General features: G+C 45.3%; 1 long non-coding RNA gene across 1 annotated transcript in view; it reads right to left on the bottom strand.

Moving 5' to 3' along the window:
• The window catches only part of LOC105375133 (uncharacterized), a 35,973-nt gene extending 21,818 nt beyond the window's left edge, over positions 1-14,155 (bottom strand). The window contains exons 1-2 of the long non-coding RNA XR_926999.3: positions 14,077-14,155; positions 12,913-13,008 (exon numbers count right to left, since the gene is read on the bottom strand). This is a non-coding gene — a long non-coding RNA (uncharacterized LOC105375133). The remainder of the gene's footprint in view (positions 1-12,912; positions 13,009-14,076) is intronic.
• Between the last annotated feature and the right edge of the window lie 4,852 nt (positions 14,156-19,007).

The raw sequence follows: 19,007 nt of genomic DNA, 5'->3' as shown, positions 1-19,007 counted from the left end.
GTGACGGAGATGGGGTAGAACAGCAGATGATGATGCCGTGTGTTCACTGCTAGGGGAGAGGGGACCAGGGGCTGGGCACAGAGAAGACGGTCTCCTCGTCCAGCCCAGAGAGCAGGGGGTGCCTCTTCAGAGAGGCGATGACTGAGCAGAGTCCTGAAAGAGTTAGCCTGACAAAGGGGAGGGGAAAGGGTATTCCGGGGAGGAGGACTAGCCCATGGAAAGGTTCAGAGGACAGAGAAAGCTGAGTGCACTGTGGGAATTATAACTAGGTCAGTTTGGTGTGATGAATGGGGAGGGCGTCTGAGGCCAAGCTGGAGAGGTGGACAGTACTGAAAGATGGAAGGACATTAAACACAACATTAAAGCATATAAAAGTATAAAGTTTGCTGGGAAGTAAAATATATAGACAAATACAGAATAATGTATGCTGTAATGGTGGTACGTACATCACCATTAATTCTGGTATAGAAGTTAAAAGACAAAGGTATAAAAATAACTATGACTATAAAAATGCTAATGGATACACAATATAAAAAGATGTAATTTGTGACATCGGCAACATAAATTGGGGAGGGGAGAAGTAGAAGTGTAGAGTTTTTGTATGTGACTGAAGTTAAGTTGTTATCAGCTTAAAATGAATTGTTATAATTATAACTTTTTTTTTCTTTTTCTTTCTTTTTTTTTTGAGATGGAGTCTCACTCTGTCACCCAGGCTAAGAGTGCAGTGGTGTGAGCTTGGCTCACTGCAGCCTCCACCTCCCAGGTTCCAGTGATTCTCCTGCCTCAGCCCCCTGAGTAGCTGGGATTACAGGCCCCCGCCATAGTGCCTGGCTAAGTTTTGTATTTTTAGTAGAGACAGGGTTTCACCATGTTGGCTAGACTGGTGTTGAACTCCTGACCTCGGGTGATCTGCCTGCTTCAGCCTCCCAAATTGCTGGGATTACAGGCGTGAGCCACCGTGCCTGGCCAACTATAACATGTTTTATGTAGGCCTCATGCTGACCATAAAGAAAATACCTAGAGAAAATGCATAAAAGAAAAATGAGAAAGGAATTAAAGCAGGCCACCACAAAAAATCAGCAAAACACAAAGAGACAGCAAGAAAAGAGACACAAAAGCTGCAAGACAGAAAAAAATGAATGAAATAGCAATACTAAGTTGCCTTAGTCCATTTTTGCTGCTATCATAGAATATCTGAGACAGAGTAATTTATAAACAATAGACATTTGTTTGTTGCCGTTTTGGAGGCTGGGAAGTCCAAGATCAAGGTGCCAGCATCTGGTGAGAACCTTGTTGTGTCATCCCATGGTTGGGGGGCAAAGTGAGGGGTGGGATGGGGAGAGAAAAAGAGTTAGAGAGAGGTGGGAGGAGAGGGGAAAAAGGGGGCTGAACTCGTGCTTTTATGAGGAATCCACTCCCGTAATAATGAACTCACTCTTGCGATAACAGCATGAATCCAGCACATCTTAAAGATCTCACCTCCTGATACTTCTGCACTGGGGAACAAGTTTCCGCACAAGAACTTTCGTGGACACATTCAAACCGTAGCATACATCCAACCATATCAATAATTACTTTAGATGCAAGTAGATTAAACTCCTCTGTCAAAAAACATAGAGTGGCTGAATGAATCCAAAAAACAACACCCAACTGTATGTTGCCTAGAAAAGGCCCACTTTATTTATTTTTTTAAGATAGAGTCTCATTCTGTTGCCCAGGCTGGAGTGCAGTGGCGCAATCTCGGCTCACTGCAACCTCCACCTCCTGGGTTCAAGCGATTCTCCTGTCTCGGCCTTCTGAGTAGCTGGGACTACAGGCATGCGCCACCATGCCCAGCTAATTTTTTATTCTTAGTAGAGACGGGTTTCACCATGTTGGCCAGGGTGTTCTCAAACTCCTGAACTCAGGTGATCTGCCTGCCTCGGCTTCCCAAAGTGCTGGGATTACAGACGTGAGCCACCGCGCCTGGCCCAAAAGACCCACTTTAGATTTAAAAACACACGTAGGCTGAAAATGAAGAGATAAAAAAAGAATGTGTGATAAGGGGTTAGTATCTAAAATATATAAGGAAATCCTATAACTCAACAGCAACAACCCCCAGAACTTGCTTAACAAATGGGCAAAGGAATTGAATAGACATTTCAATGAATAGATGTTGAATAGACATAGAAGACATACAGATGGCCAACAGGTGTGTGAGAAGATACTCAATATCACTATTCATTAGGGAAAGGCAAATCAAAACCAGAATGAGGTATCACTTCATACCTGTTAAGATGATCATGATAAAACAAACCAGTAACAGTGACAACAAACCCAGAAAATACGTGTTGAAAATAAGAGTGTTGGCAAGAATGTGGAGAAATGGGGACCCTTGTACGCCGTTGATCAGAAGGTGAAATGGCAGAATCACCATGGAGAACAGAATGGAGGCTCTTGAAAAAATTAAAAATACAACAATTGTAGGATCCAGCAACTCCACCTCGGGGTATATACCCAAAATAATTGAAATCAGAACCTTGAAGAGATGTTTGCGGTCCCGTATCTATTGCAACATTATTCATAATAGCCAAGAGGTGGAAGCAATCTAAATGTTCACTGATGGATGAATAGATGTATAAAATGTTACATATATGTAATATATATAACATATATAATATATAAAACATTTTATTTATAAATTATAATATATAAAAATCACATTTTATTTATATATTTATATATAACATGTATGTTTTATTTATCTATTTATCCATTATATGTATCAGTTTTTATAGATTATATACATATTTAGATATTAAAATACATTATACATAAAAATAACATATATTTATATGTAAGTATATACATTCACCCATCCATTATTTTTATATGTGTGTGTAGATATATAAAACATACATACTGTGGAGTATTATCCTGCCATAAGGAAGGATGACATGGATAAACCTCGAGGACATCAGGCTGACATTAGGCTAAATGAAATAAGCCAGTCACAGAAGGGCAAATGCTGCATTATTTCTTTTGTATGAAGTATCTAAAGTAGTCAAACTCATAGAGAGCCTGGCTAATCTAAGCAGAATGGTGGTTGCCAGGCACTGGTGGAGGGAGAGAAATGGGGATTTGCTATGCAATGGGTGTCGGTTTCAGTCGCGCAAGAGGAAAAAGTTCTAGAGATCTCGGGCACAACACTGTGCTTACAGTTAAGAAAAGTGCACTGTACGCTTAAAAACTTATCGAGAGTCCATCTCATATTATGTGTTTTTGCATCACAAGAACAAACAGAAAAATAGAAATTGATGAAAAGCAACTGCAAGAGGGCAAGAGGAATAGAGTGTGGCCCTGGTACAGAGCTGCTGCTGCTCTGGGCATGAAGAAGAGAAGAGAGCGGGACCATTCACTATGGCGACCACTAGCCACATGTGGCTACCGAGCATATCAAAGTGGGGAGTGGGACCGAGGAGCTCAGAGAAGATGAAAGTGGCAGGGGCCAGAGCCTGGCATTAAGGGGAAGGTGGCAGGAGGTAAAGCCTGAGATCTTGGCAGTGCTCAGAGCAGGCAGGGCTGGGAGCCATGGTTAGCATTTGGGACTTTGTCTTAAGAAAACTGGAAACCATTGGCTAGATGCAGTGGCTCATGCATAATCCTAGCACTTGGGGAGGCTGAGAAGGGAGGATTGCTTGAGGCCAGGAGTTCAAGACCAGCCTGGGCAACGTAGTGAGACCTCATCTGTGCAAAAAATAAAAAATTAGCTGGGCATGGTGGTATGCACCTGTAGTCCCAGCTACTCAAGAGGCTGAGGTGGGAGGATTGCCAGAGCTCAGGAGTTTGAGGCTGCAGTGAGCTATGATCACACCACTGCACTCCAGCCTGGGTGACAGAGTGAGACCCTGTCTCTAAAATACACACACACACACACCAAAACCCAAAAAACCCTTGGAAGCCATGGATAGTTGTATGCAGGAGAGTGAGAGGATGGGAGTGGATACAAAATGTGTGTGCAGAGACCAGTGAGGAGGCTCTGGCCATGGGCCAGGTGAGAGACGAAAAGAGTCTGGACCAGACGTGGCTGTAGAGGTGAAGAGACATGGATGGAGTTGGGAGGTATCAAGAGAGAGAAACCTGCAGGTCTTGGGTTGGGCATAGTTACCTGGATTAAGAGAGAGAAGATGAGGAAGGTGCTTTTTAAAGGGTGAAAACTGAACAATGAACACATTGGTCATAATGAGAATTAGAGGAGTGCCTTTGGGTGATGCATCTCATAGGAGCGTGTGTTTTCTCTTTAGACTTGCTGGAAGGCCATGTCTTTAGACAGTTTTACTCATCAGCATAAGCTCTGCTGCTGGAATGGACAAGCCGCAGACTCAGCAGCTACTGTAATCAAGTTGGTTTCTCCTCCACGTCACAGGCTGTGAGCCAGCAGGCTGAGCAGGAGGGAGACTGAGGTTGAGCCTCCTGGAGTCACCAACGGTCGCTTGTGGAGAAATGGCCCTGATGATGAGAGACAGGTCCCTTCGGGGATGCTGAGGTTGGCCAAGGTGGCCCTTTAGTAGAAGCTGGTGTGGCATGAGAGACAGGTCCCTTTGGGGATGTTGAGATTGGCCAAGGTGACCCTTTAGTAGAAGCTGGTGTGGCAGATTATGTTTTCCAAGATGGCCATGACAACGTCTGCTGTCCTGTGTGTTTTTCTAGAACCCTGCCTCCCTCCATGGAGGTCTCTTTTCCTCAAACCTGGACAGAGCTCTATGATAGCTCTGACCCACAGAGTACAGCAAAAGTGACGCTATGTGACATCTGAGTCTAGGTCATAACAATGTGGTGCACTTGGTCTTTGTTCTTGTGGGACACTTGCTCCTGGAATGCAGCCACCATGCTCTGAGGAAGCCCAAGCAGCCACACAGAAACCACATGGAGACGCCATATGTAGGCATTCTGGCTGACAGCCTGCTGAGGTCTGAGCCCATGCACAGCCTCAACCACCAGGCGAGGGAGAGAAGGCATCTCTAGAGGACTCAACCCCCAGCCTCCCGCTGAGGCCTCAGACATGGTGGAGCAGTGAGAAGCCATCCTGACTATGCCTGGTCCTAATTCCAAGCTCACAGAATCTATGAGCAGAATAAAAGTCTCTCCACTGAGGGGACACGGCCTTCTGGGATGCCTTTCCTCTTGTTTCTGGTAGCGCCCTGGCCTTCTGGCCTTCCTAATAAAGGCCCATCTCTTCCATTTCCTTCTTTGGGGAGAAGGAGCATGTGAGGATAGTTGCTATAAACGGCTTAATTTTATTAGGTTGAGCTTTCACTTGTTTTGATCCCAAGAGACTCTTTGGAGCCACTGCATGCCCTTTAAAAATCAAACTAATTGAGCTCTAAATTAATTTAAAACATAAGGAAATTAATCTGAGAAGCAAAGTCAACTGAGAGGAGACGTGAAATTAAAATTGAACCCTAGACAAAGGTTGACAGGCCTACCTGGCTCTGCTGGACAGAGGCTGCTCTGCTTAGCTGAGCTGATGTACTTTGTAGAGGTGATTGTTTCTGATCAAGGTCTCCTCCAGAATGTGACTCTGATGCTTCCTCAAATGCCAAAGAAAAAAATCAGCTGGGCATGGTGGTGCGCACCTGTAGTCCAAGCTACTTGGGAGGCCGAGATGGGAGGAAGGTTTGAGCCCAGAAGGTTGAGGCTGCAGTGAGCTACGGTTGCACCACTGCACTCCAGCCTGGGCAACAGGGCAAGACTCTCTGTCTCAATAAAAAAAGAGTTTCCTCAAGTAATTATGCTAAAATTCATACAGAAATGCAAATGGGTTGTATTAGTCTGTTTTCATGATGCTGATAAAGACATAGCCGAGACTGGGTGATTTATAAAGAAAAAGAGGTTTAATGGACTCACGGTTCCACATGGCTGGGGAGGCCTCACAATCATGGCAGAAGGTGAAAGGCATGTCTCACATGGCAGCAAACAGAGAGAATGAGAGCCAAGAGAAAGGAGTTTCCCCTTATAAAACCATCAGATCTTCTGAGACTTGTTCACTACCCTGAGAACACTATGGGGGAAACTGTCTCCATAATTCAATCATCTCCCACTGGGTCCCTCCCACGACATGTGGGAATTGTGGGAGCTACAATTCAAGATGAGATTTGGGTGGGGACACAGACAAACCATACATATCAGGGGCCAAGAATGGTGAAGACAATGTTGAAGAAGGAAAACAAGGAAGGAGGAGGAGAAGAAAGCTCCGAACTACCAACAAAGACCAACTCTCAAGACCTCTTACAAAAATCAAGTAATGAAGATGGTGTGGAAATAGCTTGGAGAAGACAGGCAAAGGTTGAAAAGACTTTTAAAAGAAAAGCAAAAGCCTTGAGCTAGAAATTTTCATTTCTGGGCCAGGCGCGGTGGCTCATGCCTGTAATGCCAGCACTTTGGGAGGCTGAGACGGGCAGATCATCCTGGCTAACACGGTGAAACCCCGTCTCTACAAAAAATACAAAAAAAATAAGCCGGGCGTGGTGGCGGGCACCTGTAGTCCCACCTACTCGGGAGGCTGGGCAGGAGAATGGTGTGAACCCAGGAGGCGGAGCTTGCAGTGAGCCGAGATCGCGCCACTGCACTCCAGCCTGGGCGACAGAGTGAGACTCTGTCTCAAAAAAAAAACAAAAAACAAAAAACGAAATATTCATTTCTGGAGGAAACTAAAATGCCTGCAATGTTAAGAAGAATTTGGAAGAGAAATGAACAGCTAGCTCATGCAAGTGCTGAGAAGGGTCACCCTGGATGGCTGGGCTCATTCCTGGCTGCACAAGGTCCCCAGCTGAAGGGATGGATGGGCCCAAAATCCAGGCAGCACCTGACTTGCTAAGCTATGCCCTACACAGCTGGGTCCACCAGAGAAGTGCTTTGTTCCCCAACATTTCATTATAAAGAATTTGAAACAAGTAGTAAAGCTGAAAGAACGTTACAGTGAACACCCATACACCCAGCACCTAGAGTCTACAATGAATGTTTGACTCTGCTGACTTTATCACATATCTAATCATCTCTTCATCCCATCCATCTTATGTCTAGGTGCATTTCAAACAAATTGCAAACATTGGTATGCTTCTTCCTAAATACGTCATGCACATCATTATTAACTAGAGTGTTTGTTTACGGTTATTTATGCAAAATTTGCATATGATGAAGATGCACAATTTTTTTTTTTAGATGGAGTCTTGCTGTGTTGCCCAGGCTGGAGTGCAGTGGTACACTCTTGGCTCACTGCAACCTCTGCCTCCTCGGTTCAAGTGATTCACCTGCCTCAGCCTCCCTAGTAGCTGGGATTACAGGCACACACCACCACGCCCGGCTAATTTTTGTATTTTTAGTAGAGACAGGGTTTCACCATGTTGGCCAGGCTGGTCTTGAACTCCTGACCTCAAGTATCCACCCACCTTGGCCTCCCAAAGTGCTAGGATTACAGGCGTGAGCCACCGTGCCTGGCCAAAGATGCACACATTTTAAGTGAGTTATCAATTGATTTTGTCAAGGGTATACACGTGTGTAAACCCAAACCCCATCAGTTTATAGATCATTCCCATGAGGGGACACCTTTTAAAATTCACACAAAGGTTACCCGTGTGGTTCTGGGTAGAAGACTCTAAACGCTTGGGTCAGTCCTATCTTCATGTAGGTGTTCCTGGACCACACTGAAGGTCAGGCTGCTTATTCTCACGGGCCAGTAATGAAATACATATGAACTGGGGAAGAAGAAAGTTTTTATTTCTGCAATTAGTTACAGAGAGAAGGCCTGGAAAATATCACCAGAGCAACTCAAAATTACAACGTCTTCCAGAGCTTCTATACCTTCTAAGCTATATGTCTACGTGTAAGTGTGCATTCACCTAAAGACATCAGTGACGAGCTTCTTCTCATCTATAACTAAGATCTGAGTCCTGAAGACCTTCCTCCGGAGCCTCAGTAAATTGACTTAATCTGAATGGATCCAAGTGCTGGGGCGATTACCCTTACCTTGTCTCCTGCGAAATCACGGAGGTTTGGGGGGTTCCTTCAGACCCCCAATAACTTGTCTGTGGAGGCCTGGGGAGTTTCTTCAGACCCCCAGTAAAACTTGTTTAATCCTAAACAGGCCCTGTTAAGAATTGCTTCGTTATCTTGTCATGGTTCAAAGCCTAGGAAAGGCCTGGGCAAAACTCTTGGTGGGCTTTTGTTACATGCCAGCCTTTGTATAAGGGTACTGGCTCTTTCAGCTTTTATTTTAATTAATTAATTAATTAATTAATTAGTTTATTTTTTGAGATTCAGTTGGCTTTTGTTGTCCAGGCTGGAGTGCAGTGGTGCAGTCTCGGCTCACTGCAACCTCCGCCTCCCAGGTTCAGGCGATTCTCCTGCCTCAGCCTCCTGAGTAGCTCGGATTACAGGCATGTGCCACCACACCTGGCTAATTTTGTATTTTTAGCAGAGATGGGGTTTCTCCAAGTTGGTCAGGCTGGTCTTGAACTCCCGACCTCAGGTGATCCACCCGCCTTGGTCTCCCAAAGTGCTGGGATTATAGGCATGAGCCACTATGCCTGGCCTATTTATTTATTTGTTTGAGACAGAATTTCCCTCTTCACCCAGACTGGAGTGCAATGGTGTGATCTCGGCTCACTGCCACCTCCATTTCCCAGGTTCAAGCGATTCTCCTGCCTCAGCCTCCTGAGTAGCTAGGATTACACGCATGCACCACCACACCTAGCAAATTTTTGTATTTTTAGTAGAGACGGGGTTTCACCATGTTGGCCAGGCTGGTCTCAAACTCCTGACCTCACGTGATCCACCTGCCTCGCCTCCCAAAGTGCTGGGATTACAGGCATGAGCCACCGTGCCTGGCCTCAGCTTTTAACATTTAAGTTAACCACTCAGTCAGTGCTGAAACAGTTGTTGTGGAGGCCTGCCTGTTCAGCCAGCAGGGAGACCTGGCCTGCCACATAGGTCGGGGGAAAGTCTCTTCCAGTGCTTGTTGATTTCTAAGGGTTTTTAATTTAAAATACTTCTTATAGGGCCAGGTGCAGTGGCTCACGCCTGTAATCTCAGCACTTTGGGAGGCTGAGACCTGAGGATCACTTGAGGCCAGGAGTCTGAGACCAGTCTGGGCAACATAGTGAGACCCCATCTCTACAAAAAATTAAAAATAGCCAGGCATGGTGGTGCACACCTGTAGTCCCAGCTACTCGGGAGGCTGAGGTGGGAGGATCACCTCCAGCCCAGGAGTTCGAGGATGCAGTGAGCCGTGATCATGCCACTGCACTGCATCCTGAGTGACAGAGTAAGGCCTCGTCTCAAGAAAAAAAAAAACACAATTAGAAAGAGGCATCTGTTATGTTTTGAAACTAGATAGTAGTGGTGGCTGTACCACATGGTGAAGGTGCTAACTGTCATTTATTTATGTATTTTATTATTATTTTTTTGAGACAGAGTCTCACTCTGTCACCCAGGCTGGAGTCCAGTGGCGTGATCTCGGCTCACTGCAATCTCCAGTTCCTGGGTTCAAGTAATTGTCCTGCCTCAGCCTCCCGAGTAGCTGGGATTACTGGCACCCACCACCACACCCAGCTAATTTCTGTATTTTTAGTAGAGACGGGGGTCTCACCCTGTTGACCAGGCTGGTCTCGAACTCCTGACCTCAGGTGATCCGCCCGCCTCAGCCTCCCAAAGTGCTGGGATGACAGGCGTGAGCCACTGCACCTGGCCCTAAATGTCATTTAATTGAACACTTAAAACAATTTATTTTTTGTTATGTGAATTTCACCTCAATTAAATAAAAAAGGAAAAAGAGGCGTCAGTTAATAATTTTAAAAATGTTATCCCGCGGCATTATCGCGTAATCCAGGAGCCAGGTGGACAGGATGACCTGGGCACCTTTGATTCTGTCCTCGCTAACTGGAATGAACTCAGGTTTCTGGCTACGGCAAACTGATTTTGTGTGATTAATTTAGAAAATGTCATGGTTAAGAGGACATGATGTGAATCAGACCGGCTTGGGTCCCAGGCGGGGCTCTGTCACTTAGGAGCTGTGTGACCTTGGCAAGATTTTTAATTTAAAAAAATTGCTCATTTATGATCAGCAGCCCGGGAGGAAATGTGTGACTATCATCCAATCTTCTACGTTTAAGCTTTTATGTCCTATGAACTCTCACCTGAGCAAATGTCAGAGCCAGCGGAGAAACATCCAAGAAAGAACGAGGGTAATCAGAAATCATCATATTCCAAAATGTTTCCAATTGTTAGAAAAATTAATCACCGACCAAAAAACACTTCGGGGAGTCACAGAGACTTAAGCTCTTTGTGCTTCAGTTTCTTTATCAGTGAATTGGGAATAATAAAATCACCTATCTCGGTGACGATGTGCGGAGGTAAAGGGTGTTTAACAGCTGACCCAGTAGCTGCAAGCTTTGCAGCTGTAATTATTAGTATTAATTCACTCATTAGCTCTGGGAGGGCAAGAAATTTGCTGCTTTTTTTGCACCCAGTAGACCCGGCTTTGACTACAGTGCACAGTACTCAATAAATAATTATTTAATGAATAATTGAATGAACGGTATCAATACTTAAAATCCAAAAAGTCTTTGGAGTTTAAGATGGAGTCATACCTTTTCTATACCATTCCAGTTCTCAGATTCTTTGAGATCCTCTAGTGGTATTTAACAAAAGCAGCTACCACCCAGGAAGGACCATGAAAATGTTTGCTGAATGAATGGATGGTTGCCTCGCAGAAACTCATCTGGGTTCTTTGGATGCAGAAAAATTCTTTTTCTTTTTCTTTTTCTTTTTTTTGAGATGGGGTCTTGCTCTGTTGTCCAGGCTGGAGTGCAGGGCACGATCATAGCTCAATGCAGCTTCAGACTCTTGGGCTCAAGAGATCCTCCCACCTCAGCCTCCCAAGTAACTGGGACTACAGGCACCCGCCACTGTGCTGGGCTAATTTTTGGTAGACACAGGGTCTCACTATGTTGCCCAGGCTGGTCTTGAACACCTCACCTCGAGTGATCCACCTGTCTGGGCCTCCCAAACGCTGGGATTATAGGCGTGAGCCATGGCACCCAGCCTTGGCTCCCACCTCAGCCTTACAAGTAGGTGGGACTACAGGTGCGAGCCACCATGCCGGGCTAATTTTTTAAATTTTTAGTAAATAAGATGTCTTGCTGTGTTGCCCAGGCTGGTCGTGAACTCTTGAACTCAAGTGATCCTCCCACCTTGGCTTCCTCAATACTGGAATTACAGGCGTGAGCCACCCCGCCCAGCCAGGACAGGTCTTTCAAATTGTATTGGATAGGACTGTAGAAGGTTTTGATGATCATTACTGACGTGGTTAGAGATAAATATTTATTGGAAGCTGAGGTTGATGCTGTACAGCCATCAGTGCCCCAGGGACTCCAGAAGCCTTACGGGCCAGTAGAATTCTGGCGGCTTCATTCAGATCCAATGTGAAGAAGTAAACACCTCTAATTTGCTGTCTTGTCATAGAACCAAGTCAACCTGAGCTGGTGCGAGAGAAAGAGCCAGTCTCTCTATCTCTTACCTGCTGGACAGTTCATTGACTCCCTGACAGCAAGAGTCAATCTCCACACATGTAATCCTGCCAGAAGTCAAGGGGCTGGCATGGACCAAGGTGCATGAACCAGGGGTGCCACAAATCTGTGGCTGGAGCATCTGCAGCCAGAGACCCTCCCAAGGAAGATAGGGCAGGTGACCTACCTGGACCAGAGCAGGGAGCTGGCTGACCTGTGTCTATGACCCTCCACTTCTCACCCCTCCTGACCTTTGCCTACGTTTGCCTTTTGCGGCACCTGCACTTTTGCATGTGACTCAGTGGCATTCCTAGTGACCTCTGTCTCTTGCAAGGAGCCAAATGTCCATCTGTCATGCAATAATAGAACATTTTGATCTACTGTATGCTGGTGCCCCCTGCCAAGGGTGTTTCAGATCACCCAACAATTACGATGGGCTCCCTTTGTCTTCAGGGAGGACCCAGGGATAACTCTTGTTCTCCTAAATTGATGCATAAGTTTTTCCCCAAAGCCTTTCTATCCTGCAGAGGCCTGGTAGGTGACAGAGATCATAATTCCCCTTATATCCATAAGTCATTTTTCTTCTTCTTTTTTTTTCCCCTGGAATCCAGTAGAAATCCTTCTCTTTAAAGCCTTATAACTTGACATTTATCTATCTTGGGGTGGGTCTTTATTTTTTATTTATTTATTATTATATTTTGAGACAGGGTCTCATTGTCATTCAGGCTGGAGTGCAGTGGCATGATCATAGCTCACTGCAGCCTTGACCTCCCAGGCTCAAGCAGTCCTCCTACCTCAGCCTTACAAGCAGCTGGGACTACAGGTGCCAGCCACCACGCCTGGCTAATTTTTTTAATTTTTAGTAAAGAGAAGGTCATGCTGTGTTGCCCAGGCTGGTCTTCAACTCTTGAACTCAAGTGATCCTCCCACCTTGGCCACCTCAATACTGGAATTACAGGCATGAGGTACCCCATCCAGCTGGGTTGGGTCTTTCAAATTGTATTGTATTGTCTTGGGTTGGATTGTCTTTTATTTAAGAAATTTTATCTTTAATAATTGCCCAATGGTGGTTTCTAGTTTCAGGCATTTTCTAGTCTAGTCAGTATGGGTAGAGACCTCTTTGTTTTCTGACCAGCAGAACATTAAAAAAGAAAACATTTTCTTAAAAAATAGAGACGGGGCTTGCTATGTTGCCCCGGCTGGTCTTGAACTCCTGGCTTCAAGCAATCCTCCCTCCTTGGCCTCCCACCTGTGCTGGGATTACAGGTGTGAGTCATTGCATCCCACCAGCAGGGCATGTTTGCCCAACGATTTGAATATCCTGTTGCAATTTGCCCTAGTAATTCACAATAATATTTGCATAAATTACCTGGCATAAGAAGACCGCAAGGTGATTCACTTGAAATGAGGACAGACAGCAGTGTACAGGTGGGAAGTGGTGAGTCTTGACGGCAGGCAGATCCAACTGGGAAGGAAAAAAAAATGAACATGTGCAAATGGGTGGGACCTGTCCTTACAACGGTCGCTAAAGGGCTTTCCCCTTTAATTGGAGCTTTTGTGGTGCTGTTGGGCCCCCTAGGAGCAGAACCCCGGTGATGACAGAAAGTGGCTGATTTGGCTGGGTGCGGTGGCTCACGCCTGTAATCCCAGCACTTTGGGAGGCCGAGGTGGGTGGATCACCTGAGGTCAGGAGTTCGAGACCAGCCTGGCCAACATGGTGAAACCCCGTCTCTACTAAAAATACAAAAATTAGCCTGGCGTGGTGGCGGGTGCCTGTAATCCCAGCTACTCGGGAGGCTGAGACAGGAGACTTGCTTGAACCCGGGAGGCGGAGGTTGCAAGTTGCAGTGAGCTGAGATCGTGCCATTGCACTCCAGCCTGGGTCACAAGGGTGAAACCCTGTCTCAAAAAAGAGAGAGAGAGAAAAAAAAGAAAGTGGCTGTTTTGCCTTTTGTGTGTTTGACTTACACACGTTTGCAGGACGGCATTGCATACAGCATTAGAAAGCTGCCCAGGCGTCTTTATCATCCTAAAGCCTTTTTGAAATTCTTCGTCTGTTCCTCACAGCTCTGGCGATGCGTTGCTTAACTTTCTGATTGATTATTCTCTGAAACAATCAATATGGGCCTTTGCTAACCTTTGAATCAACTTCTGCTCCTCAAATCTCTTTGGATTTCGGCTATGATTTGAATGTTTATCTCCTCCGAAACTCATGTTGAAACTTAATTCCCAGTGTGGCAGGATTGAGAGTTGGCCTTTAAGAGGTGATCGGGTCAGGAGGGCAGTGCCCTCGTGAATAGATGAATCCATTCACAGATTAATGGATTAATGGGTTAGCGCAGGAGCGGGACGGGTGGATTTATTAGAAGAGGAAGAGAGACCTGAGTTAGCACACTCGACCCCTCCCCGTGTGATCCTCCGTGCCGTCTCGGGACTCTGCAGAGAGTCTGCGTGTCAGTCCATTTTCACGCTGCTCATAAAGACATACCTCAGACGGGGCAATTTACAAAAGAAAGAGGTTTAATGGACTCACAGTTCCACGTGGCTGGGGAGGCCTCACAATCACGGCGGAAGGTGAAACGCGCACCTCAGACGGCAGCAGAGAAGAGAAGAGCGGTGTGGGGAAACTCCCGTTTATAAAACCATCAGATCTCGTGAGACTTACTCACTGTCACGAGAACAGCACGGGAAAGACCTGCCTCTATGATTCAATTACCTCCCACTGGGTCCCTCCCACAACATGTGGGCGTTCAAGATGAGATTTGGGTGGGGACACAGCCAAACCATATCAGTCCCCACAGCCAGGAGGCCCTCACCAGATATGGTCCCTCCACCTTGGAATTCTCAGCTTCCCTAACTGTAACAAATAGATTCACTTTTAAAAGAAATTACTCATGGCCGGCCGCGGTGACTCACATCTGTAATCCCAGCACTTTGGGAGGCCGAGGTGGGTGGATCACTTGAGATCAGGCGTTCGAGACCAGCCTGGCCAACATGGCGAAATCCCATCTCTACTAAAAATACAAAAATTAGCCGGGCACGGTGGCAGGTGCCTGTAATCCCAGCTACTCGAGAGGCTGAGGCAGGAGAATCGCTTGAACCTGGGAGGCAGACGTTGCAGTGAGCCAAGATCGTGCCACTGCACTCCAGCCTAGGCGACAGAGTGAGACTCTGTCTCAAAAACAAACAAACGAACAAACAAACACACACACAAAATAAAATAAATTACTCATTTCTGTTGTTCTGTTATGAGCAACAGAAAATGGACTAAGACCATTGTTTTCTCTTTTTCTTCATTTTCTTGGTTCTCAGATCTTCATTGTTCTGTAATAATCTTGCAGCTGTGGGATTCTGTTGACAAACTGTTCCAGATCACTCAATGATTAAGATGGGCTCCCTTTGTCTTCAGGGAGGATCCAGGGATAATCTCTGTTTTACTAAATTGATGCAGAAGTTTTTCTTCAAAGCCTTTCTCTCCTGCAGAGCCTAGCAGGTGACAGAGGTCGTAATTACTCTCATATCCACACCTCTTTTCCCTTCTTTTTCTTTTTTTTTTCTTGGAATTCAGTAGAAATCTGTCTTTGTCTTTAAAGCATTTTAACTTGACACTTATCTGCCTTAGTGTGGGTCTTCAGGGCTCTATTGCAGACTGCCTTTTATTTAAGAAGTTTTGTCTTTAATAATTGTTCTGTGATGGTTTCTCATTGCAGATGTTTTCTAGTCTGACACCAAGTCTCCTTGACTTGCTTTTGGGTGTCTCTACTATCCTTCCAGTCTTTTTTTTTTTTCCCCATTGTCACCTCAGCTGGAGTGCAATGGTGTGATCATAGCTCATTGCAGCCTCCAACTCCTGGGCTCAAGTGATCCCCCCACCTCAGCCTTCCAAGTAGCTGGGACTATAGGCATGTGCCACCATACTGGCCAATTTAACTTTTTTTTTTTTTTTTTTTTTTGTAGAGACGGGTTGTGCTATGTTGCTCAGGCTGGTCTCAAACCCCTGGCCTCAAGAGCTGGGATTACAGGCAGGAGCCATTGTGCCTGGCCTCCTTCCAGCCTTTAATAGCTCCAAATCAAGTCAGTTGTCTTGGCATAGCCTCAACACTCCTGATTTTGTGTATGTCCTTTCCCCTTTAAAGCTCCCCTAACTGTAATCAGAGTGTCTCTTTTTTTTTTTTTTTGAGATGGAGTCTTGCTCTGTCACTCAGGCTGGAGTGCAGTGGTGCAGTCTCAGCTCACTGCAACCTCTGCCTCACGGGTTCAAGTGATTCTCCTGCCTCAGCTTCCTGAGTAGCTGGGATTATAGGCATGGACCACCCTGCCCAGCTAATTTTTGTATTTTTAGTAGAGATGTGGTTTCACCCTCTTGGCCAGGCTGGTCTTGAACTCATGACCTCAGATGATCCACCCTCCTCGGCCTCCCAAAGTGCTGGGATTACAGGTGTGAGCCACCGCACCCAGCCGTGTCTCCTTAATGTTTATGAGCGTAACCCTTGTTTCCTTAGACCCAGAGCTGTGATAGTTTTTACAAATGTTTAAAATAGTTTAAGTTAGTATTTAAAAGGGAAAAACTTCTACATAAACTTAAGAGCTAAAACTATGAAACTCTTGGAAGACAATGAAGCGACGTCATTGTCTGGGGTAAATACCCGAGGTTCGTCGTCTCACGCCAAGGGAATCAAGGACACAGACACGCAAGAAGTGAGTTTAAGAGCAGAGGTTTAGTAGGCTAAAGAACGAGAAAAGAGAAAAGCTCTCTCTCCTGCAGAGAGAGAGGTTGGCTCCCAAGTGGGTTTTCCAGTTCCATGGGGAAATGCATGGGGTTTTATCGATGAGCTTGAGAAGGTGGTGTCTAATTTACATACGGCACAAGACATTGGTCCGATCAGCTGTGCCATTTGCATAGTGCATGAAGAAGCTAGCCATCCCACCCTAATCTTTTATTATGCAGATGAGGTTTCTACCTGGCCGGCACCATGTTGCCTGCTTTTTACTGCACACATAGCGACAAAGAAAAGGGAAGAGGGAACCTCCACGTTGAATACACCTGGCTTCCAAGTATTCCTTTTCTATTGGCACAGCTGCTGGCATTTACCTATGCAAGCTTTTAGCTTGCTTATCTATGCTTGCAGCTTGATTTTTCAGGCTGCTTTTTGTTAGAAAAGATATCATTTGGGGGGTGCTTTTTATTAAAATGAAACTTTACCAAGGACTCTCTTACCCTCACCATCTGCCTAAATAATTTCTTTCTAGTTCCTGTATCAAAAACATAGGGGTAAATCTTCATGATGTTGGATTTGGCAATAATTTCTTTCTTTTTTTTTTTTGAGGTGGAGTCTCACTCTGTCACCCAGGTTGGACTGCCGTGGTGCGATCTCGGCTCACTGCAACCTCGGCCTCCTGGGTTCAAGAAATTTTCCTGCCTCATCCTCCTGAGTAGCTGGCACCACAGGTGCATGCCACCATGCCCGACTAATTTTTATATTTTTAGTGGAGATGGGGTTTTACCACTTTGGCCAGGCTAGTCTTGAACTCCTGACCTTAGGTGATCTATCTGCCTCGACCTCCCAAAGTGCTGGGAGGCAATGATTTCTTGGATATGACACCAAAAGTATAAGCATCGAAAGAAAAAATTACTACATTGGACTTCACCAAAGTTAAAAACTTCTGCATCAAAGACCACTATCAAGAGAGTGAAAAGACAGCCTACAGAATTGGAGAAAATATTTTCAAATCATCTATCTGATGGACAAGTAATATTCAGAGTATACAGAGCTCTTACAAAGCAACAAAAACAAAAGGACAACTCAATTAAAAAATGGGCAAAGGATTCGAATAGATGTGTCTCCAAAGTCATACAAATGGGCAATATGCACATGAAAAGATGCTAAAAATCGTTATTCACCAGGGAGATGCAAATCAAAACCACAATGAGATACCCCTACACACCCACCTCCTGGCTATGATTAAAAACAATGGGAAATAACAACTGTTGGCAAGGATGTGGAGAAATTGGAAACTTTGTGCATTGCTGGTGGGAATGGAAAATGTTGCAGCTGCTGTGGAAATTTGGTACATGCTCAAGTAGTTGGACATGGAATTACCATAAAATCACCAGCAATTGCACCTTTGGTATATATCCAGAAGAATGAAAAGCAGGAACTTAAAGAGCTTAAAGAGATACGTGTATGCTAATGCTCTCAGTAGCATTATTCATAGTAACCAAAAAGTTACTATGTCCATTGATGAATGAATGTATAAACAAAATGTGGCCTATCCCTGCAATGGAAGATTTGTTGGCCATTAAAAGAAATGATATTCTGATACATGCCAAAACATGGATAAACATTAAGGACACTATGCTAAGTGAAATAAGCCAGACACAAAAGGACAGATATTGTATGATTCCTGATATGGTTTGGCTGTGTCCCCACCCAAATCTCATCTTGAATTGTAGCCCCTGTAATCCTCATGTGTTGTGGAAGGGACCCAGTGGGAGATGATTGAATCATGGGGACTGTTTCCCCCTTACTGTTCTCATGGTAGTGAATAAGTCTTGCAAGATCTGATGGTTTATAAGGGGAAACCCCTTTTGCTTGGTTCTCATTCCCTCTTTGCTGGCCACCAGCTATGATGTCTCTTTGTGCTCCTTCGTCTTCCACCATGATTGTGAGGTCTCCCCAGCCATGTGGAATCGTGAGTTTCCTTTATAAATTACCCAGTTATTGCATGATCTGGTTGTTTAAAAGCGCATGGCACCTCTCCTCTCCCTTTCTCTTGCTCCTGCTCCTGCCATGTAAGACGCCTGCTTGCCCTTTGCCTTCCACCATGATTGAGGCCTCCCCAAAAGCAGAAGCTACTATGCTTCCTGTACAAACTGCAGCACCACAGGCCGATCAAACCTCTTTTCTTATAAATTGCCCAGTCTCAGGTATTTCTTTATAGCAGTGCGATAATGAGACTGATATAGGGTCGCATATAGCAAATCAGGGTAGATCCAGGATTTGAGACCATGTTTGTGAGTGACTCCTAAGCCTAGAGATGGTAGAATGGCCATCTCTACCACCTACCATTCCAGGACACTTCAGGACTTCAGGTAAAACCCTTGGGTGGGGCTCAGCAGACCCAAGCTCTGGGTCAATTCTCCTCTGCCTCAATATGTGACCTCAGGCAGACCCCTTGGTTGTTCTTGGTCTAAATCTCATTGGCATTCCCAACTCCATTTTTTTTTTGTTTTGCACTAGCTATTATCTTTGCCTGGAACATTCTTCCTCCAGTTCCTCTGTGTCAGGGACCCCAAGAACACTCTCATGTTCAATGACTTGCTAGAAGGACTCAGAAAAGCCTGTTATACTCACAGTTATGATTTTTTTTTTTTTTTGAGACGAACTCTCGCTCTGTCGCCAGGCTGGAGTACAGTGGCACGATCTTGGCTCACTGCAACCTCAGCCTCCCGGGTTCAAGTGA

The sequence above is a fragment of the Homo sapiens genome, chromosome 7 (genome assembly GCF_000001405.40).
Source record: "Homo sapiens chromosome 7, GRCh38.p14 Primary Assembly".
In the NCBI taxonomy this organism is placed as follows: domain Eukaryota; kingdom Metazoa; phylum Chordata; class Mammalia; order Primates; family Hominidae; genus Homo; species Homo sapiens.
The sequence above is the reverse complement of the archived record's forward strand: the minus strand, read 5'-3'. Positions and strand labels throughout refer to the sequence as shown.